We start from the raw sequence: 22,708 nt of genomic DNA, 5'->3' as shown, positions 1-22,708 counted from the left end.
GACTGGAGAGGGAAGAGGGGAAGCAGGAGGACCTGGCCTGCTAGAGCCTGGAGGAACCCGGGGCTCAGGGCAGCCCATCCCCAGCAGAACTGATGGGTTCTCGGGAGCTTTCCATCTATGGTTGAGCCTGAGGCCATCGCTGTGCTAAGGAGTTGAATATCCAGAAGGGGACAGAGGTGACATCTCCCGGCTGCCGGCTCTGCACACCCTTTTCCTTTCCTCCCAGGCAGCCTCAGGATGTCAGGGCTGCACTTTCTGTTTTGCAGATGATGAAATGAAGGCTCAGAGACACTGAGTGACTTGCTAGGGTCCAATGGCCAGCAGGCTCCAGTCAGAGAGCAGTTGGGTCTCTCTGCCCAGCCCCAGGTTCTCTGTGAGCTTTTGTGGGATACCCAGGCTTGTCCAGCTTCAGGGAGTCTCTGGATCATAGATGTCGCAACCCAAGCAAGTGTCCTCAGGGTCAGACATGCTAGGTTCTGGACAGGTGGGACAAAGAGGAAGCCAGGCTGAGGTGGGGCAGCTGTCCTGGCCCCCAGGGAAGCAGCCTTCTTCCAGGACAAGGGGCCATGGAGGCCTGCAGCTTCAACCAGACTGCTGGGAACCTGCCTTTGAGGAGGTGGACATGGCAGGGAGAGCCCAGTGCTGGGTGGTTTCCAAAGTCAGTTGCTGGCCAAGGCAGTCTGGCACTGGGCCTTGCACCCAGTGCAGCAGGACAAAGGGCTGTCCATGTAGGGACCTGCCAAATTGACAGGATCACTGTGACACTCACTGAGTCCCTACTCTGTGGCCGGACCCTTCTCTAAGCACCTCACATTCAATATCTCCCTTGAACCTCACAAGGAGTCTATGAAGTAGACACCAGTATCCTTATCCACAGATGAGGAAACTGAGGCACAAGTAGGCTAGGCAGGTGCCCGAACTCACTAGTAAGTGTGAGAGTCTAGGTGAGAATCTGAACAGCCTGACTCCAGGGCCAAAACCATACCCTGGTCGTCCATACCCCATGTGAGAGCTGGCTAGGGGTAGCAAGTTCACAGGTAGACCCCACCTGCAACAGCTGAGCTGCTAGCGAAGACCCAGTGTCCTCTAGGCACAAAGCTGGGCCAGGAACGCGATGGGAGGAGATGAGGGAGCCACTGGAGAGAGATCTGTCTGCAGGCAGGGTCCATCTGCACCTCTCTTTTTGGTGTTGCCTTTTCCTCTGTGTCTCTCATAGAGACAAACCCATCTCCCAGGCCTCTGGGCAGCCACGTAGCAGGGGAAGGCCAAGGCGTGGCAGCTCCCCTGTGCCTGTCACAGAACAAGTTATATTAATAGATGTAGTCACAGGCTGGTCTGAGTCACCTTTTCAGTGAAAATGTGCCTGTCTGGACTAGCACGGCCCTGGGCAAGACCCTGCAGGAGCCTGAGGCTGACCCTTCCTTCTCAGCAGGAGGTCTGGAGCTCCAGGACTCCACACTGATAGCCAGGGCTCCGATTCCCAGAACACTTATTTTCTAAAACCTTAGAGTGGGAAGTGAGACAGAGGCTTCTCAATGCAGCAAAATCAGAACCAGCCAGGGAGCTGCTTACAAATGCTGCACCTGAGACCTACCGCACCCCTGCGGGACTGCATGCTCCTCAGGGATGCGGTTACACAGCCTGGCCACTCGCTGGTGCACCACAGCCCCCGAGTGCTGGGGCAGAGGGAAGCCGGCAGGCACTGAGAGCTGAGATGCCTCCCACATTCCCAGATGACCTGCGTTCCTGTGGGTGAAGCTTCCTTCAGTGGAACGTTCCAGGAACACTCATTGTCTGGGAAAGGTGGAGTCATCAGTAGGGCAGGGGAGGTAGATAGAGCTCAGCTTCTGAGTCAGGCTGGGGAGTCCCAACAGCATCACTTACTAGCTGTGTAAGGGAGTCCAGCTCCCTTTCTGTAAAGTGAGGCATCAGTACTTACCTAGCACAACTGTTGAGGAAGCCATGACATAAGCATTGCTTCTAAAGCACCTGGCCCAGGTCTGGCACACACAAGGGGCTTGAAGTGCTAACAGGAGTAATAGCAGAGCGTGACTCCACAAGCAAGGGATATCGTGTGTGTGGACACCGATGAGCAATATCTGGGACCACACTGGCTCTCTCTGGATGGAATTTCCATAGGAATTATTTCTAACAATTTCTGCTGTGAAACATGGTGCTAAGAAATGACTCAGGAAGATCTGTCACCAGACATTTGAAATTAAAGCAAAGAGTTCAGAAAGATGCCTTACCTCTTACTCAAAGGAAAGATACTTACAGATATACCATCCATTGGAATCTCTGTATTTTCACAATCTAACCCAGGGCTTCGATGGATGGATGGATGGATGGATGGATGGATGGATGGATGGATGGATGGGCGGGTGCATAGATGGATGGGTGGGTGGATGGATGGATGGATGTGGTAGTCAAATGGGTAAGTGCGTAGGTGGGAAAGTAGATGGGCAGATGATGGAGGTGATGGAAGGAATAAGTGAACAGGTAAATGGAAGACAAGACTGGATGGGACTAAACTCTTTTTCATCCTGGAGGATCTCTGAGTCTCCCTCTAATTCAATACCTATCTCCAATATCCCTCCATTCTCTACCATTCCTCCACCCAAAACACACTTATGTCCATGTTAATCATCTGAGAAATTCTGCAGGGCACAAGTTTAAAGAGCCTTCAGGCAAGCCCTGAACTGGAGGCTTGGAAATCAAGGGCTCAGGCACTTGGTTATCTGGTTTATTTCACAATCTGCAGAGCATCGTGCGGGTTTTTCTAAACCTGACGCTCTGAGCCCCATGGGCCTGTGGACTTGCAAACACCCTGAACTATCAATATGCTCAGCTGGGCCCCTGCCCTCTAAGTTGCTGTAAGTCCCAACTCCCCAGGAAGAGGGCAGACTGAGCTCAAACCATTCCTCAGAAAGGCAGAACCATGCTCAGCCTTCCAACCTCATCTGCACACTCTGAAGGTGGTGCATGCAGCTCCAGGAAGCCTTTGCTTCAGTGTTCTTTCCCCTCCTAACTTTGGGTGAGTTTGTCCCTTCCTGCTGCTGGTGGGTGATGCTGGAAGGAGCTGGGTGTGGCTGGGGCTGCTGTCTGCAGTCAGATGGCACAGACAGGGACAGGAAAGGTTTTGTGGCTTCTCCCCACAAGCTCTGGCTCTGGCTACTCCACCCTGTTGGCCAAGGGGCTGAAGGGCAGAGCACTGGCCTGCAAGGGCTGAGCAGATCTCCGTGCCCAGGGAAGGGGCTCACCCTGTCAGGGCGGGCTACCAGATGGGCTGGGAGCCTGCTCTGCCCTCCCTGTCCCTGCCTGCTTTGAGCAGGCCTGGTTCTCTTGCAGATTGAACAGGAGGGTGTCACAGTGAAGAGCAGCTCCCACTTCAACCCAGACCCTGATGCAGAGACCCTCTACAAAGCCATGAAGGGGATCGGTGAGTGGGTGTTGGCAGCCTTGCCACCTCTGCTCAAGACCCCTCCGCTCACAGCCCTGGAAAGCGGGTGCCAGGGGACATCTGGGGAGCTGGGGTGTCCCATGATACTCTGAAACTGATTCCACTACCCAGAGAATCACACAGCCCTCTGTTTCTGCAGTGAGGTCAGCACCCACCCTGCAAGACTGGACAGGAGGGTGCTGCTCTTCCCTGGGTAATGGGGGTGGGGAGGTGAGCTGTGTGTCTCTGTGAGTGACTTCCCATCAGTCTCAGCTTTCTCACTTGTAAAGTGGCCCCAAGAATTCTTGGCCTTGTGTGTCACATGAAGTGTGAAGGGGGTGGTGCTTTATGATGCCAGGCACAGAGCTGCCAGGGGTGTGAGGTGTTGGGAGTTTGTGGGGCTGATTCAAGGCCCCCTTGCCCCATGTCGATGGCCATGGAGCCGGCTCCCTTCCCATCTCCTGCACTTGCCCAGTGCTGCCCTCAGCACTACCGTGAGTGGGCGAGGGCTGGCCTGAGGCCAGATTTAAACAGCTTGCCCAGAAAGCCCTCCTGACCTGAGAGCAGAGCATGTACCCTGACCTCACCCCAGGTGGGACTGACCCCTTAGCCGGCTCTGCCTGAGGATCAGGGGCCTTAATGAGAACTGCCGCTCCTGACAAGCCCAGAAAACGTTCTCATGCCCTCTGCTTTCTGTGAAGCAGAAAGTTATCTCCACTTCCCAAATGAGAAAACGGAGGCCCAGGGAAATGAGGCTGGCTGCCCAATGCCACGCAGTTGCTGGGCCAGGCCTCGGATTCAGGGGTTGGACTCTTAGTCTTGACCTTCCCCTACTGCGACCAACACAAAGGAGGGCAGGGCCAGAGATCTCACTCGGCCAAGCTCCAAAGGCCCGGGCTGATGTCCAGAGCCACCCAGACCTCAGATTCCATCTTGTGAGGCTGGCCTTGGGCACGCCCCAACATTGTGGGGGTGTGGGGTGGGAAATGGGGAGGCAGATTTCCTAAGGGTCTTGTTTACACCACGAAAATGGTCTGGGGGTTTGGAACTATCCAGGTGTCGGGTCCCAACTGCTCAGCCACCAAGCAGCTGCCTTCGCCTTCCCCTCCTCCGCCCTCACCAGTGTGTCACCCTGGGGGCAGCAGGGTCACTTGTGCTGTAACCCTGCAGGGACCAACGAGCAGGCTATCATCGATGTGCTCACCAAGAGAAGCAACACGCAGCGGCAGCAGATCGCCAAGTCCTTCAAGGCTCAGTTCGGCAAGGCAAGGGGAAGGCTGGTGGGGGTGGGGATAGGTGAGCCTTGGGGTTGGGGGTACAGCCTGGGAGGCAGCTCCATTCTGGACGACTTTCCCCTAGAGCCAGCCCACTGGCAGCATGGGCACATGGAACATGTTTGCATGAAAACAATTGTTCTTTATTGAAATTCAAATGTAACTGGCTGCCCTGTGTTTTATCTGGCAGATCTACTTTTAGGTGTCAGAGCCCGGGCCGGGGGCTGGCCTTCCTTGCTTCCTTTCCTGCCTCCTCTCTCACAGCATTCCTTCTCATGCACCCAACAGGCCCCACTGGAGGTCTGTCTCCCTGCCCCCAGGCTATCTCGCCCTGCCCTCTGAGCCCAGACCACCTTCTCTTTTCCATGCCCCAGGCATGCAGGCCTGGCTTTGCTCTGTTCTGGGGCGTGGGCATGCTTTCCTCAGTCGAGCTGCTTGCACCCACACCTCGTCCCTTCTGCCACCTGGGAATTCTAAGAGCCTGGAGTAAGCATGCCAGGCCCTTTGTTTCTCCTCCCACCTGCACTCCACCCCTAGGACAAAGCCTGACATTTGGGGGTACACAGTAAACACAGGATTAAATATGTGCACAGCCATGGTTGCCTCAAGCCTCTAGTGACTCATATCATTAGTTTGGAGATGTAACGAAGGAAGATCAGCTCAAATATTCTCTTGGAGAACCCAGTATGCATTTTTACAGTTTCCCTCTCTTAGTCCTCACAGTGATACATTCTTTGTATTCAAACATTTGGGGAAACTGGCACTCAGAGAGGTTTTAAGTTGCCCAAGGTCCCAGAGCCTGTAATCAACAAGGTGGGGATTAAAATCCAGGTCTGACAAAGCCCTTGATCTCTCTGCTGCTCTGTAGATCAGCTGATGTAGCCTGGTGGCTCCTCGTAGCAACATGTGACCTTAGAAGGAGGCACATGTGAGACGAAGTCTTTAATTCAGGCATGCATTCATTCATTGAGTGCCAAGTGACAGGTATTTTATGGTGATGCCATACTCAGAGCTTGCAGTCTAGCTAGCAATACCAATTTCATTTTACTGAGAGCTTATGATGTGCCCAGCACTGCACTGAATGCTGAATTGAGTCACACACAACCCCCTAAGCAACGGGATGAAGCAGGAGCACGTTTCTCTCCGTGTAACCGGTAAAGATACTGATGCTAAGAGAAGCTAAGGAGCTGGCCCAAGAAACCCAGCCAGCACGTGGCAAGGCCCACGCAGAATCCAGCCCAAGCCCCTGGACCCAGCCACCACTCCGCTGCCTGCACTCAGGTGGGCCTGGCTTATGACAAATATCACCTTTCCCTGTTCCCGCATTAGGACCTCACTGAGACCTTGAAGTCTGAGCTCAGTGGCAAGTTTGAGAGGCTCATTGTGGCCCTTATGTACCCGCCATACAGATACGAAGCCAAGGAGCTGCATGACGCCATGAAGGTAACCAGGCAGACAGGGCAGGGGAGTGGCAGGGGTGCTCACATGACTGGGTAGGGGCAATGCGGGGACCGGGAACCTACAGCCCAGAGCTCCCCTTGAGCCACTGTTTGGAATGGCCATATGGGCCATAACTGGGCCCAGTGAGCAGGCAGCCTGCTGCTCAGACTGCACCCAACACCTGGAGTCACTGGTGCCTGATTGACACGTTGAGTGGCCGTGATGAAGCCAAAATCAGTACTTCTCAGAACCTCACGAGCTCAGGTGTACAGTGGTATTGGAAACCCACCTCTACAGTCCCAGGCACAGCCCCTTGGGTTTCCCTTTACCTCTCACTACTCTTTGCTTTTGCAGATTAATAAGGATGGGGACCCAGTAACTATAGTCATTTTGTTTGGAAAGACACTTGCTGCATGGGCACTGCCAGGCATTTTACACCCACGCTCCCTAATCTATCTTTGGCGCAGGGGAGGCTTCTTATTCCTGTTTATGGATCGGGATGCTTAGGCTCCAGGACATGGAGCAGCCTGTCTGAGACCACCCAGCTAAGGAGGGAGAGCTGAGACAGGGCTTCCCCGTCACAGCACTTGCCCTCAATGTTCATCACTGAAGCATGTGATTTTCTCATCACATCCTCCCACTTCAAGTGGGGCAGGGCAGTGAGGTCCTTCCTGAGGCTCAGGCATCTTGAGAAAAGAAGGTGTGGACAGAGCAGAAGGTCATGGCAGAGCACTCCAGCAGGCAGAGGTTTCTGTCCACAGGGCTTAGGAACCAAGGAGGGTGTCATCATTGAGATCCTGGCCTCTCGGACCAAGAACCAGCTGCGGGAGATAATGAAGGCGTATGAGGAAGGTAAGGGGTGGCACAGATGGAGGGGCTCAGGAGTGGCCACAAGCTTTGGCAGCCTGGCAGGGAACAAGGATCAAGAATTAACCTGGGCCACACTAGAAAGGACCCTTTGGGGACTTTTTTACCCACAGGTGCTGAGCACCTACCGTATGCCAAGATCTGTGCCTGATGGTGACACTGAACATGATTCAGACTTGATCTGTAAGCTCACCAGCTCCTCTTACAGGGGAGAGAGGCCTGTGACCAACTAAAATCTCTGCCCTTGAGGACTGTGGTAGTAGGGGGTGTGGACCCCAGGCTAGCAGAGGCCAGTCAGTCCTCCACATCATGTACCTAGTGGGGAGTTTTCCTGGAGGCTTTGGCTTTGCCAAGCCTTGAGATGAAATGGAGCTTGGTTGGCAGCCCCTAGCCTGGCTCTCTGACCTGGTCCATCTTGTGCTTTGAGCTTGGTTGGGTACGCATGTCGCTTCTAGTTGTGAAGCACCACCCAGGCGACAGCCACTTGGACACCCGGGCATTGCATCCATGCCCTGTGCCAAGGACTTTCTTTCCTAGAAGGCTTTAATAAGGAGAAGTATGGGGAACAGGGCTGGAAGGAGGAAAGCAGGCCCCGGGTAGGCTGTGGGCCTCTGCTTGTGCCTCATGGTCCTGTTTCCCTGCAGACTATGGGTCCAGCCTGGAGGAGGACATCCAAGCAGACACAAGTGGCTACCTGGAGAGGATCCTGGTGTGCCTCCTGCAGGTGTCACAGCCTAGGCTCTTGGGAGTGCCTTGGTTTGGGAGTCCCAACAGCTCCACCCCAGGGAGCAGCCCTTGAATAGCGCCACAAGAGTCAGGGTAGGGGCATGGGATAGCCCAGCAGCCAGGGCTCATTGGGTGTGTCTCAGCATGGTTAGAGGGTCCCAACTGCAGAGCCCCCACACCTGTCCTTACTCAGCCATGTGAGAGCATCCTGGAAGCGGGAGGAGAGCAGGTCCTTCGTGCAGGCCTCATGCCAGGCACTTTGCTTACCTTAGCTCACTGAATCCGCCAAGCCTTATGAGGCAGTCCTTACCACCCCCATTGTACAAATGAGGAAACCAAGGGCTGAAGAGAATAACTGGCTTGTCGAAGTTTCCACAGCCAAAGAGCAGCAGAGCCATGCCTGCCCTCCAAGCCCAGGATCCCCCCTGTGCCCTTAATGCTCTGGTCAGCTGGCCTGCCTTACAGAGCCACCTCCTCTGTTCCTAGGGCAGCAGGGATGATGTGAGCAGCTTTGTGGACCCAGGACTGGCCCTCCAAGACGCACAGGTGAGGCTGCGCCCAGCCGGCCATGTGGCCCCACCCCCTGCCATCTGGACTCCGGCTCCTCTGCCCACGGGGGCTTTCTCTGACACTGGGCTGGGACCCACCCAGCTCAGCTCCCTATAGGCCTTTGTCCTGTGGTGTCTGGGGAGGAGAGTGAGGGTGTTGGGAGACTCGGGAGGAAGGAGTGTGACTTGGGGGTGGGGGAGCACTAAAGCTCTGTCCTGGCAGGAACAGCCCATGAACCCGGGGGCGCTAGGCCCCAGTGCTGGACACAGGTGTCCGGGTCTCTGTAGGTCTGCCTGCTGGCAGAGGGAAGTCTGGGGACCAGGCAGTTCCTAGAGCAGCTTGTGGCCCAGGATAGAGAAAATATTCTAAGCCAGAGCTGCTAGAGAAAGGGGAGCTCCCTGTCAGAGACGACCAAGCAGGGGAGCATGCTGGCCTGGCAGAGTGGACAGGGCCAGGCCATGGCCACAGCTCTGGGACTCTGGGGCTCAGTCCCTCACCTCCCTGGTCTCCCTCACTGGCTTATTGTGGGTGTCCCAATGCTAGGATCTGTATGCGGCAGGCGAGAAGATTCGTGGGACTGATGAGATGAAATTCATCACCATCCTGTGCACGCGCAGTGCCACTCACCTGCTGAGAGGTACCAGGGAGGGAGGGGCTGGGGCCGGGGCCACAGGGGGTGTCCTGGCCATGAGCCTCTCCCTCGTGCTTCTGCCTTGTCAAGTCTAGAGTTAGGGAGAGAGCCAGGGAGCCCAGGACTGTTTCCCCAGCCACCAGTGGGAGGTCAGGGCGGCAAATTGATGTGCGATCTCTGATCCGAGACACTGAGGGGCATCACGAGGAGGTCTGACCATCCCCTGAGCAGAGCCCTCTCCACAGTGTTTGAAGAGTATGAGAAAATTGCCAACAAGAGCATTGAGGACAGCATCAAGAGTGAGACCCATGGCTCACTGGAGGAGGCCATGCTCACTGTGGGTAAGAGCTCAGACTTGCACGTTTTTCAGGCCACAGGGCTCACCGTGGGGCAGCACCAAAGAACAAAGGGCCTAGGGATGCGACCACAAGAGAAAGAATCCCTGTGTCACCTTCACGGGATGTCCCCCCGACTCACACTCTGCCTGTCTCCCTCACCCAGGGACTGCTCCACCTCTAGAGTCCCAGTGTGTGCTGCCAAAGATTGTTCTCTGTGCTGCCCACGTGGTGCCCAGTGCTGTGTGGGTGTGTCTGCATGAGTGTGTGTGTGCGTGAGAGTGTGTGTGCCTGAGGGTGTGTGTGCATGACTGTGGGTGGAATGTGAGTGTGTGTGTGTGAGACAGACAGTGTGTGTGTGTGCGCACACAAATGCATACGCCAGTGATTATGCCAGCCCCAACCCTGTGTGTACTCATGGCAGCCATGCAGGGAGCACTCTGGCTGTGGTTGTGAAGCCCTGGCCAGCACAAAGTCATCTTTCTGGACATGAACCAGGGGCCTGGCCCCTGCCTTCATTGCCAGTTGAAGAAACAGTGATGTGTGGCTTGAGTCCAAACTGAGTGACGGATGGTCTGATGCTGAGAAACACTGGGGATCTTCCCCACAGCAGGAAGTCAGGGCCACTCAGGAGGACCCACTCCAGAGCTCTCATGGGTTCCAGGGCTGAGATCACAATGGGAAGAGTCACTGCAGAGTAAAGAGCTGAGGCCCAGGGCAGAGGGACGTCTCTTCTCCCACTTACACACAGAGCCCAGGTCCGGACTCCTGGCCTGCAGCTCTCACCTCCACACCAGGCTGCCTCCGTGCAAAGCCAGCAGCCAGCAGGCTCCCTGCTGTTTCCTAGCCTCTCTGGGTGGACAGGGCCATCTGAGACACCCCAGCTGGCCTTGGATGCTGTGATACAATCCGGTCTATGTCAGGACATCTAATCACACCCCTGCTCCAATCTCAGCTTCCACCCCTGGATCTGGCCTGAACCCACCAAGAATGAAGTCTGCCAGCAGGGAATAGTGAAGCCATGCAGTGCTCCGTCATGCTGGGCCTTCCTATTCACTTCACCTTGAAGCCTCGCATCAGTCTCACTTCCCAGATGAGTCAGGGAGGTTGAGTAATGAAGCCATACTGCACCATCAAGGCAGGAAGTGAACACATGCCTACCTCACTCAAAGCCCATGCTCCTTCTGCAGCCCTAAGTGAAAATGCCAACCTTCCCCACCCAGATGCCAAGTCTCTGAGCAGTACCCATGGGAGCAAGCATGGGCCCAGTCTCTGGACCAGACGCCCCCAGGTGCCTTAGTCCTGTGGGGCCAAACTCCACTTGTCACATGGGAATTCAAAATGCAGGGTTCCTGCTGATAAGTGTGAGAGAGAGGGCACTCTGAGGCCAGCAGCCACCATCCCATGGTGCTTCTGTGGAGCTGAGAGGCTGGATTTTTGGTGGAGGTGTCTCTGGGTTGAGAGCCCAGGGCCTGTCCTGAGTCTGAGCTGCCCTTGGATGGGCTTGAGCTGGTGTCTTCAGACGAGCCCCACAGTCTGGTGCATTTCACATCTTACCCTTTTGCCTGCCTGCTTGGGCCTTTGGAGCTGTGCCCAGTGCCCCGGGCTACCTTCCCTGTCCCACGCCACCTGACACAAAGCCTCTCACATTGGGAAAGGCACGGAACAAAGAAATATGCCAAGCCTTGCACAACACTGACTCTTAAGACCTAAGGCAAGACATAAAGTTGTAGGCAGTGCCACCTACCAGCTCCAGACATTAACACAGCTTTCTTGTTTGCCAGTGAAATGCACCCAAAACCTCCACAGCTACTTTGCAGAGAGACTCTACTATGCCATGAAGGTAACTGTCCTGTCTTCTTCTTCCTGACGCTCACCCTACATAGCACCAAGTGCAAAGCCAAGGAGCTCAAAGCCACCACGATCCTCCACACGGGGGAGTTATCTTACCCAAACCTGTCGTGGATCAGAAAGGTTTTAGTTCTCGGAGGTGAAATTGAGTCTGGGAAAGGGACGCTGCATCTCCAGAGGTGAATAATTCCCTGAAACTAAAACCATTGCCCGTTTTCTCTGATTGATGGTTGCTGATATCCCCTGAAGTTAGTTCCACACCCGAAACCCAAGCCCTCTGGCCACTTCTGCCCAGGAAATGAGAGAGGGCATGCGATTCCCTTGGCCATGTGGCCCCAGCTGACATGAGACTGGTCAGGGATGAAGGTGAGCAGGAAGGCCCTGCCTGTGAAATTCCTGGCTGAGCTGATTGCTGCCATTGCTCTAGTAGGAAGTCTTGTTCCTGGAGCAGTGAGTATTTTGTGTCTAGAATCTGATGTGGCAAACCAAACATACTGCAGTTTGGAGCACTTGGCATCATAAAGGAAGAGTTCTGGGCAGTGGGTGAGAAGGAATTAAGGGAGTGGACACCCTAAGCCACCAAAGCTTCCCTCCTAATGCTTCCCTGGCTGAAGCACAGGCTCCTTCCCACATCTCCCTCCCTCTAAAAGCCCCAGAACCCAACCACACAGATCCGTCCATCACTCAGAGATGGACAGGAAAGGTGAGGCAGGATTGTTGATGGCTGCTGTCTTGCCCAGGGAGCAGGGACGCGTGATGGGACCCTGATAAGAAACATCGTTTCAAGGAGCGAGATTGACTTAAATCTTATCAAATGTCACTTCAAGAAGATGTACGGCAAGACCCTCAGCAGCATGATCATGGTAAGCAGGCATTCCCAATGCTGAGGCCAGCCTGAAACCCAGACATTCAGGGAAACCTGGAGGCTGTGGCCAACACTACGTGAGCCCCTCCCTTCCCAGTGGGCACCATGTGCTTGCATTCATGACCATGTGGTGTGTGCAGGGAACAGCAGAGGTCAGTGTGGCTGGATCCCAAGGGGAATGGGGGGCAGAGGGGAGATGCAGAGACCAGGGCACAGAGGCTCCCCTGTGTCCCACTCAGAAAGTTGGTTTCACATTTAAGTTATGGTTGCTCCTTGGAAAAGACACCAAATCCTTGCAGAAGAAGCCACCTCTGAAAAGTCAATGAGATGAACTAGTCCGGTAGGAATCGGGCCCACCGCTCAAATCCAGATTTAAGTAGTCCTGGCGGCCAACTTCTAAGGAGATAAGTCAGATGAGCGCCAATAGACTATCTAACCAGATTCCAATTAGCAAAAGTTCTGGAGCCTTCAAAACACAGACTGATTATCACGCTGCGATAATTGGGAGAAACAGCTCTTCTGGGGGTGTCTGCAAATTGAGGTCTTGATGATTTCATTAGCAGAAGTCACATTAGGACAAATGTATCCCCAAGTTTTCTTTGGCTACTAAGTCAAGTCTCTAGCTCTTCTGCAAATGTCGTTGTTAAGTGCACTTTTCAAGAAACACATAGCTGACAATAGGTGGAAAAGACATTTCTGTTTCCAGATGTTTCAAGATGGCAACATCTTGAAACAGGTGGGCAGGGGCAAGAGAGGATTGGAATTATTCTTGGTTTCACTTGAGGCTCCCCAGCCAATCTTGTCGGGAGACAGGAGGGCAAGGCACACACCAGCCTGGACTGTGCTGTCACCTGCAGACAGTCTGAGCTGATTGTCATTAACCCTTTTAACCACACATGGTAACTTACGGCATCAGAGAGATTTCTACAGATACATGAAGCCACCCTCTTCAAATTTTATCTAATGTTGTTACTTAAGAAAATTGAGTTAGAATCATGAATACATTGACCAAACGTTTCTTTTTAGTGTAGACCACAGATGTCATTAAAGCAAAAATGGTTTTCAACACTAATATGAGTTAAAAACTCCTGCATTGAAATTAAGAGGCAAATGTATAAACACTCCAAGTATAACTCATGTATTTGAAAAAGTAAACAAAATTAATGCTTTTCTTTCTAAAAACTATTCGAAAAATTGTCCTCAAAATAATAAAAATCACCAGGCGTAGTGGCCCACACCCGTAATCCCAGTGCTTTGGGAGGCCAACGCGGGAGGATCGCTTGAGCCCAGGAGTCCAAGGCTGCCGTGAGCTAGGACTGCATCACTGCACTCCAGCCTGGGTGACAGAGTGAGATCGTGTCTAGAAAGGAAAAAGTTAAAAAAAATTTCATTGTAGTTTGAAACCCGTAATGAGATTTCAGGCTCAAAACAGGCAAATTTTACTAAATGGTGAAAAGTAGACAATAACCATGAGACCTAAACTGGTCCAGAGTGTGGAAAGTGGGTCTAGCCCCAGTCTACCCCTTACTCACCATGCCGTTGTGAATGAATTCACTCCCCTCTCTTGGCCCCGCTGTCCTCAACTGCATGAAGAAGAATCTGGGTGATCTGACCTGGCCCATTTCCCAGCTCTGTATGCAGACCCCGGACTAGCCAGTCCCATCAGGACCTACCACTATCTAAGAAACAGGGCTCCTCAGTCATCGGACCACAAGGTCAGTCTCATCAGGAGACAAACACTGTGGACCCGATGTGAGCCAGATGCAGGGCAGACCAGCTCGCCTTCCTCCTGCTGTACCCTCACCACGTCTCAGCAAGATGCACAGCAGCACAGCATTGATCTCATTTCATAGATGAGTCCCACAGAGGTGAAGGGGCTTGCCTCGGCCACACCGTCAGGGTGCGATGGTCCAGGCTCCCTCCACCCCCGGCCCTGCCCCCAGGTGTGTGCTGATGCCTCACTCTCAGCCTTGATTCCCAAGCTGCCACAGCAGGTGTTGAATAATGATGCATCCTGTTGTGTAAATGAATGGCTGGGCACCCTGGCTCCCGAATAGAAGAACCCTGGGACAGCTGACCCCTTCCTTGTTTAGGAGTGGAACTGTCTCTGATTCATTTTCCACATCAATCCTGCATGTAGTTGGTAAGAGAATCAAAAGGAAATGTAAAGGAATAGCCTGAAATTAAAAACAAGGAAAGAGGGGTGATGGCACAACCCCTGCGGCTAGGAACCCTGGAGGGCCGGGCCAGGTGCAGGCCAGGGGCACACCTCTTAGTCATAATAACACAGCCGCCACTGCCGAGCCAGGCACAAGCAAACCCCTTCTCACGCTTATGCGCCTCCTGCCCACAGGAAGACACCAGCGGTGACTACAAGAACGCCCTGCTGAGCCTGGTGGGCAGCGACCCCTGAGGCACAGAAGAACAAGAGCAAAGACCATGAAGCCAGAGTCTCCAGGACTCCTCACTCAACCTCGGCCATGGACGCAGGTTGGGTGTGAGGGGGGTCCCAGCCTTTCGGTCTTCTATTTCCCTATTTCCAGTGCTTTCCAGCCGGGTTTCTGACCCAGAGGGTGGAACCGGCCTGGACTCCTCTTCCCAACTTCCTCCAGGTCATTTCCCAGTGTGAGCACAATGCCAACCTTAGTGTTTCTCCAGCCAGACAGATGCCTCAGCATGAAGGGCTTGGGGACTTGTGGATCATTCCTTCCTCCCTGCAGGAGCTTCCCAAGCTGGTCACAGAGTCTCCTGGGCACAGGTTATACAGACCCCAGCCCCATTCCCATCTACTGAAACAGGGTCTCCACAAGAGGGGCCAGGGAATATGGGTTTTTAACAAGCGTCTTACAAAACACTTCTCTATCATGCAGCCGGAGAGCTGGCTGGGAGCCCTTTTGTTTTAGAACACACATCCTTCAGCAGCTGAGAAACGAACACGAATCCATCCCAACCGAGATGCCATTAACATTCATCTAAAAATGTTAGGCTCTAAATGGACGAAAAATTCTCTCGCCATCTTAATAACAAAATAAACTACAAATTCCTGACCCAAGGACACTGTGTTATAAGAGGCGTGGGCTCCCCTGGTGGCTGACCAGGTCAGCTGCCCTGGCCTTGCACCCCTCTGCATGCAGCACAGAAGGGTGTGACCATGCCCTCAGCACCACTCTTGTCCCCACTGAACGGCAACTGAGACTGGGTACCTGGAGATTCTGAAGTGCCTTTGCTGTGGTTTTCAAAATAATAAAGATTTGTATTCAACTCAAAGTATCTTTGGATGTTTAGCAGGGACCAGTGTAGGACCAATTTAATTTGTCAGAAACAGAGCTTTGGGGAGCCACGAAGCCTGAGCGCCTCGTGGGCATCTCCCAGTGGGAACACTGGATGGGCTGTACCTGAGCACCTCATGGGCATCTCCCAGTGGGAACACTGGATGGGCTGCAGCCACCGCTGCCCTGGGGACAACTCTTGCAAATGAGGGTAGATTCTATTCACCTCCTGATGTGTAGGCTACATCCTTGTATCTCAGGGTTAGAGAGGGATTTAAAGTCAGCTGGTGCTGTTCCAACCTGTGGCCTGACTACCCCCTTGGCATCCACCCAGGGGTGGTCCTTGGTGTGCTTGGGGTGCACTTGGGTACTCAGGGTGTACTGGCGATACTCAGGGTGCAGTTGAGTACTCCGGGTGCACTTGGCTGCCTCCAAAGATGGGACTCACTGCGTCCTTTGACAGCCCAATCTTTTTCCAATGGATGTGACCAGCAAAGTTCTTGCTTTACCTGAACCAAAATCAGCCGCATCAAGCCCACACCTCTGCCATCTAGGGCCACAACACTTATTCCCTCCCAGTAACAACATTTTGGATATCTGAAGAAGGCCCACAAATTCTGCGATGACCTCTGTCAAAGCCCAGTGTCCCCAGTCCCTTCAGTGGTCCCTCCTGGAGCCTGTTTGGGGCCATCACCCCTGAACATGCTCCAGTTTGCAAACTTCCCCTCAAGTGGCCCTGAGGGGTAAGCGTGTGCCCAGGAACCAGCCTGATCAGGGAGATGGGAATAGCGTGGGCTCTGAATTCACTTGGACGGGAGGCAGATTCTGGCTCTGCCCTGCACCAGCTCCATGACTTTGACTGTGTTAGGCTATTCTTGTGTTGCCATAAAGCAATACCTGAGTCTGGGTAATTTATTTAAAAAGGGGGTTTAATTGGCTCACAGTCCTGCAGGCTATATAGGAAGCATGGTGCCGGCATCTGCTCAGCTTCTGGGGAGGCCTCTGGAGGGACCTTACAGTCATGGCAGAAGGTGAAGGGGGAGCCAACATCACGTAGCGAGAGTGGGAGCAAGAGAGGTGGGGGGAGGTGCCACACACTTTTAAACAGCCAGATCCTGTTAGAGCTCAAGATGGTGAGGACAGCATCAGGCGATGAGGGATCCGCCCCCTGACCTAAACACCTCCCACCAGGCCCCACCTCCAACACTGGGGATCACATTTCAACATGAAATTTGGAGGGGATATCCAAACTATATCAGTGACTGAGTCACTTACTCTCTGAGCCTCAGTTTCCTCACATTTCTATACAGGGTGGGCTCCCAGTTACAACTGCTGCCTTTCGAACCACCCCAGAGCCAGTAGCATAAAATCCTCATGTATAATGTTCACAGATTCTGTGGGTCAGCAGTTCTGGAGGGCACAGCAAGGTGCTTGTCTCTGACCCAACAAGTAAGGGGACTCAGTCTCAGTTGGGAAGACCTGAAGGTTGGGTGACTCTAGGGCAGAGGGGTGCAACCATCTGGATGCCTCTTCACTCACATGTTGGGCCCCTGGTGAGATGGCTGGAAGGCCAGGCTCAACTGGGACTGTCCCCTGCACTCCTACACGTAGCTTCTCCAGCATGGTGGCCTCAGGGTAGCAAGTGGTAGGGCTCCACCGTCTCCCAGTGGACAAGAAGGACACCACATTGCCTTCTGTGAGTTAGCGTCAGGAGTCACATGGCATCACTTCCCCGGTGCCCTATCAGTTGAAGACACCACAAGCCACCCCAGCTTCAAGGAAAGGGGACACAGACCCAATCTGTCAATGAGAAGAGTGTCAACGAATCTGGGGACTGTTTTTAAATCCACCACAAGTGGTGCTCAGAATATTTAACAACTGGTGCAGCACAACCCACTCACCTGAATGGCTGCTGTCTGCAGGGGTGGAGCAGAGCTCGAGTAGCGGCCCCTGCAGGGCCAGGCCTCAACCCTTAGTGCTGGATGGCAGGGTGTCTGTGGGGCCCCAGGGGAGGCTCCTGGGTGTTGGGGGTGCAGCAGCTATTCACCAACATGTCTTAGTCTTTTCAGACTGACATACAAAATACCATAAATAGGTGGCTTAAATAACAGACACTTATTTTGCACAGTTCTGGAGGCTGGGAAGTCTAAGATCAATTCAGTTCCTGGGGAGGGCCTCTTCCTGGCTTGCGGACGGCTGCCTTTTTGACACGTCCTCCCATGACCTTTCCTCTGTGCTTACACGTGTTCACGGGGGGAAGAGCTCTCTCTCTCTCTCCTGCTCTTTTCATAAGATCACTATACCATCATGAGGGCCCCGCCCTCATAACCTCATCTAACCCTAATTAGCTTCCAAAGGCTCATCTCCAAACACCAGCAAACTGGGGGTAAGGGCTTCAACAATACACAATCAGACTGTAACACAGCAAGGCAGGGGCCCTTCGGGAGTTTAACAACCTTTTAGTAGTTGTATCAGTGTGCGTCTCTTGGATCCCAGCCCTGGGTGAGAATTCTTATTCCTTTCTTTCAGTTCAAGTCCTGCTCTGTGTGCAGACTTGCTTTCAGTTCTGAGCCATTGCCTAGCTGCTTTCTGCCAAAACTCTTTAGAAAGGATTTAGAGGGGCCAGGCGTGGTGGCTCAGTCTGTAATCCCAGCACTTTGGGAGAACGAGGTGGGCAGATCACGAGGTCAGGAGATCGAGGCCATCCTGGCTAACACGGTGAAACCCTGTCTCTACTAAAAAATACAAAAAAATTAGCTGGGCATGGTGGCGGGCCCCTGCAGTCCCAGCTTACTCAGGAGGCTGAGCCAGGAGAATGGCGTGAACCCGGGAGGCAGAGATTGCAGTGAGCAGAGATAGTGCCACTGCACTCCAGCCTGGGTGATAGAGCGAGACTCTGTCAAAAAAAAAAAAGAAAAAGAAAAAAGAAAGAAAGGAAGGAAGGAAGGACTTAGAGGATCTCTCTGCCCTGCAAGCTCCCCTGACCACTGGTTCGATGGGTTCTTTTGCAGCCCACCCCAAAACAGGCCTCATGTGGCCAAACAGGAGCCTTGAGAAGAGCTGCAGCCAAGGAAATTTGGTCAAGTCCAAGTACATGCCCAGCAAGGGGATCTGCTTAAGCAGAGTCATGAAGTTGATCATCTCCCCTGATGGGGCAGAATGGACATCACCCCCACTGCCTCCCTGCCAGCAGAGAAATGTGGGACAGGCCTGGAAGCAAGAGGTCTCCTCAGATTAGAGGGGAAGCTCTCTCTGCCTGGGGTCAGAGCTGGAGCAGCATGGGTGTAAGGGGTCACGGCCCCATGTGCTGACTCCCTCCAGGTGACCCCCATGGCACCTGGGGAAGGAAGCAAAGGGGCCCTGGCCAGGACACCAGCAGCATCCACAGCACCTGCTAATCATTTTTGCTGGAGTAACCTTTTGGGCACTTCTGGTAAAGCAGACACGCTCCACAGGTGCTTTTGCAATTGCTCTTTGGAATTTGTTAAAAATACACCTATGTTTTTAAAGATAATTTGGAGTCTGCCTAGTTTAATTTCAGCATAGGGGAAAAATAAGGGAATAGTGACAAAGTTTCTTTACTTGAGCAAACTTGAGTCAGGCTCCTGAACCTTCTAGGCTCATCTGTGTACTTTCTTGTAAAATCCAATTTGAGCAAGAATCCCACTAAGTCAATTCAGCAAGAACTCCCCTTGTTCCTATCTGACCACTCCCAATATCCGATCAGGGTCCTCATCCTCCACCTTCCCAGGTGATGTCTGGTCACCCTGGCCTTTCTTCAGCAGGTCTCCTGTTAGGTCAGTTTAGCCAGCATCACCCTCACCCCTGGCATTTCCTCTTGGTAATTTTCCATCTTTCAACTCCTACCTGCTCCATGGCTCCAAGTCTCAACTTCTCATGCTGTTTTTAGAATCAGCCTGACTGTATATTGAGGTCTCTTTTCGCTTATTGCAATAGTCCTGAATAAAATCTGGTTTTACTACTTTATCGTCTAGCTCTGGTTTTTCTTTGCCATAGGTATTCCCTACCTGTAGCCTTGCCATAGCTCTATCATCGTTGCTTTTTAATTCCCTCCAAGAGATGATATCTACATATACTCCCTCTCTATCCTCAGATCAATGTTTTGCATTTCCTAGGAGCTGAATTCCTTTTCTTCCATTGCAGCACTGGCTGGGAGAGAAGGCACAACATGGTCCAGCATACTGAGCCCCAAGTTTGTCCTGCAGCATGATTTGAGACACAGTGTTCGTGCCACACAGAATTCTGTGAGCCGTCCAATAGCCTTTCATACATTTGTTTTCTGCTTAAACTACAGAGTAGATGCTCTTGTCAGCACCTAAGAACACTCTCTATTACACAGAACTACACCCTAATGACATTTTATCTGTTTACGTGTCCTCTCAGAAAAGCTGTGAGCCCCTTGAAGGCAGGAACTTTATTTGTTTTTAAACATTCAGGGCCTAGTAGATAGCAGGCTTTCAACAAATATTTTTGAATAACAACAAACAAGAGTATGGACTTTGGGAACAGGAGAGCCTAGTAGCCAGCAAGCCTGAGCCAATCCTTGATGGCCTCCAATTCTGAGAAGACTCTCTGGGCCCCCTTAGGCTCCCTGTGGAAGAAAGCTTCCCCAGTCAATCCTAATAAAAATACTTCTGAGACAGATCTAACAGGACAAAGTGGAGTCTCTCCACTCTTTCAGTAGCTCCTTCACCCCAGGTGCTGTTTGGGGTTCTGACACTGCCATGGCATGGCCAGCAGGATGGCCCCTAGGGCTCCTGGGGCTGCTCTATAAGAGCTTCCCACCCCTGACCTGCAGTCCATGAGGGCAAGGCCAGATCCGGGCACACGCCCATCCGTGTTGTTCTCATGCTCTCAGGGGGTAGAGCTAGTGTGTTGGACTTGGCATGTTTAGGGTCACCTCCCTGAGGGTTGACAACCTGAGCAAAATCAGCATTCCCTTGGCAAGGAATAAAGGGGGAATGGATTTGTGGTCAGCAACCCACATCGTTGGTCAGCAACCCACCGCCAAGCATTCTGCCTGCAACAGGGTGGGGCTGGCCAGGGGAGGCTCCTCAGGGAAGGTGAAAGCTGTGCAGAGTTTTGCAGGATGACTCAGTGCTTATCAGGTAGACAGATAAGGAAGAACATTCCAGGGAGAGGGAGGAATGCTAACAACAGCAGGGGATCTGGTCTGTACTAGACATGCCAAAGGAATGGTGTGTCCATATCAACAGAGGAGGGAGAGACAGAAGAGAAAGAGCTTGTCAGGGCCTGAGTCAGAGCGGGCTCATGCTGTGGGGCTAAGAAGCTCAAACGATTTCCAGAGACAGTGGGGAAGCTTTACAGGGACAGGCAGGGGAGGATCTTAACCCGGCTTTCGTAAGCCTCTGGCTTGAGTATGGAAGGTGAGTCTGGGACAGGGAGCCCAGCGCCGAAGTGTTGCAACAGTATAGGGAGACATACAGACCAATTCCCTCCCACCTAACAGCTCTGTGCTTTGGGGTCCTGGGTTAGTTTCCTGGGAGAAGGCTGGCCTTGGCTACCTCTGTCCTTGACCAAGGACATCGTTTTAAATATTTGTGATGTGTCCTAGGCCACTGCATCTCTGTCCCTGTAGTGAAGAGAAGATACTGATTCCTAAGCTCCTACTCTGAGAACACAAATATCTGCAATACTTCGGTAAGCCCTAGGCCTGAGTGTGAGGTTGCAGGCACTTCCATGGCCCCATGCAGGTGTCCAAGTTCCCTCGTGGTATTTGGCCAAGGGGGGCCCTGTGTGATGCCCTAGCGCGGTGACTACCCGTGTTCCTGGCCCATGGGCATCTTCCACGGAATTCTGGGCTTAGCCTGGGGATTCATGCGGGCGCATCTCTGTGATCTGCTCTGGAGCAGGATGTACATCAGGTCTCTCAGACCTGAGTCCCTGGTGCCTGGCGCTCAGCCTTGACTGAAGTGCTCGGCCCACCCTGCTGGGCCAGCCAGCTCCTGCTCAGGGCCACAGCCCTGTAACCACGGCTTCCTCCCCAGGACTCAGGAATTCTCCCACTCCGGAATGCCTTGCTGCTGGGGTGACCAGGTCTTCACTTGTGAAACAGGAGTCGGCCACCTCAGCCCTGCGCCTGGCCTGGTGGAACATGGGTCACCGCCCCAACCTGGGGCAGCCGCCCCATCCCAACGCAGTTGCTGCCGCTCTCCATGCCTCCCTGTGCCCAGCTAACCGGGGGACTTGTCCCCTGGGAAAACCTGGGTACCCAGGCTGCCTTTGGTTTCAGCCCCTACTCCTCTTCCCGGGCTGCCTTTGCTCCCCGGACGGCCCCTTTCCCCGGGCTGTGTTCACATCGGCTGGGAAGGGTCCCTTGCAGACAGATCTTGGACGAGGTCGCGTCCCCCCTCGTGACCAGCAAACTCCTAAAAGCCGCCCTTGCCCCAGAGCCCCTGTAGCCTCCAACCGGCAGTCAGGAGGCAGCGCCGTCTCAGCGCCGCTTAGTGGCGCCAGGCGTGCCTGGAAATCCGCTTTCGCAGCGCCCCCTCGTAGCCGCCTCCGCCCGCAGAAAGGCGTTCCCTGGACAGAGAAGCGGGCGCGCGGGGGCGGGCGCGCGGGGCCTTGCCGGAGAACCTGACTCTCCGCAGCAGCAGTGGAAGCCAGAGTGACGCGTTGTGTTGAACACCAGTTTTCTGGAGCGCTGTGTGTTCTCATAGCTGAGCAGTCTGTTTCTCCAATCAGGTTTCAAAGCCACTTCAACTGCACTGGCCCCTGTGGGTCACTGCTGCACCGCCCTGGCCCATGTGGGTCCCTGAGGAGCGACCTGCCGGGGCCACCTGGCTGGACGAAAAAGACACACCTTGGACTTAAGCCGTGAGAAAAAAAAAACTTCATCAGTAAGAAACAAGTCAATAGACAAGTAAAAGACTAGGAGAAAATATGCATAAAACATAAAAAAGTGACTTGATTCCTGATTCTGGAGTATTTAAGAATTCCTATAACTCAACAAAAAGTTCAGTTTTTTAAAATGAGCAAAAGGCTTGGGTAAACTATTCACAAAGGAACATAGACAAATGCCAGTACACACATGAGAAGCGCATACACATCCACAAACTTCAAACAAGCCCACCTCATGTATTTCTAGTGAGTAAGGAAAAGAACGCAAACACTTTTGAAAATTGTTTGGTTGTTTCTTGTAAATTTAAACAAATACCCTATTATATTATCCAGCGAGTCCATCCTTAGGTTTTTATCCAAGGATAAAGAGGTGAAAACTCATATCTAACAAATAGACTTCTGAAAAGATGAAAATAGAAGCTTTATTCATAAAAGACAAAAACTAGAAATAACCCAAATATTCATTCACAGGAGAATGAATAAACAGACTAGGTTGAATCCATACAATGGAATGGTAGCAGACAATAAAAAGAAAATGAACTATTGATGCCCCCTACTGCACAGCAGAAGCTCTGAATCG

General features: G+C 53.0%; 1 protein-coding gene across 14 annotated transcripts in view, besides 3 other annotated features; it reads left to right on the top strand.

Moving 5' to 3' along the window:
- ANXA8 (annexin A8) overlaps positions 1-15,244 on the top strand; it is a 523,804-nt gene extending 508,560 nt beyond the window's left edge. For 3 of the 14 annotated variants that reach the window (XM_006717951.4, XM_011540096.1, NM_001040084.3), the window contains 11 exons: positions 3,349-3,439; positions 4,610-4,704; positions 6,043-6,156; positions 6,915-7,005; positions 7,665-7,744; positions 8,233-8,292; positions 8,839-8,932; positions 9,172-9,267; positions 11,046-11,104; positions 11,853-11,975; positions 14,331-15,244. In XM_006717951.4, coding sequence (XP_006718014.1) covers positions 3,349-3,439; positions 4,610-4,704; positions 6,043-6,156; positions 6,915-7,005; positions 7,665-7,744; positions 8,233-8,292; positions 8,839-8,932; positions 9,172-9,267; positions 11,046-11,104; positions 11,853-11,975; positions 14,331-14,390 — 963 coding nt within the window. In that variant the 3' untranslated portion in view covers positions 14,391-15,244. The other 11 variants (XR_002957008.1, XR_945805.1, XR_246202.2 and 8 more) reach the window with 11 other exon arrangements.
- Positions 1,134-1,646: an enhancer, noted in NCBI's record as "H3K4me1 hESC enhancer chr10:48257259-48257771 (GRCh37/hg19 assembly coordinates)". NCBI's record gives its function as "activates a minimal SCP1, AML or CMV promoter by ChIP-STARR-seq in primed H9 embryonic stem cells {active_cell/tissue: H9 hESC(primed)}" and the evidence as "EXISTENCE:reporter gene assay evidence [ECO:0000049][PMID:30033119]".
- Positions 3,734-4,667: an enhancer, noted in NCBI's record as "H3K4me1 hESC enhancer chr10:47168559-47169492 (GRCh37/hg19 assembly coordinates)". NCBI's record gives its function as "activates a minimal SCP1, AML or CMV promoter by ChIP-STARR-seq in naive H9 embryonic stem cells {active_cell/tissue: H9 hESC(naive)}" and the evidence as "EXISTENCE:reporter gene assay evidence [ECO:0000049][PMID:30033119]".
- Positions 20,792-21,447: an enhancer, noted in NCBI's record as "H3K27ac-H3K4me1 hESC enhancer chr10:48276917-48277572 (GRCh37/hg19 assembly coordinates)". NCBI's record gives its function as "activates a minimal SCP1, AML or CMV promoter by ChIP-STARR-seq in naive H9 embryonic stem cells {active_cell/tissue: H9 hESC(naive)}" and the evidence as "EXISTENCE:reporter gene assay evidence [ECO:0000049][PMID:30033119]".

Source organism: Homo sapiens, chromosome 10 (assembly GCF_000001405.40).
Source record: "Homo sapiens chromosome 10, GRCh38.p14 Primary Assembly".
NCBI classification, from domain to species: domain Eukaryota; kingdom Metazoa; phylum Chordata; class Mammalia; order Primates; family Hominidae; genus Homo; species Homo sapiens.
The sequence above is the reverse complement of the archived record's forward strand: the minus strand, read 5'-3'. Positions and strand labels throughout refer to the sequence as shown.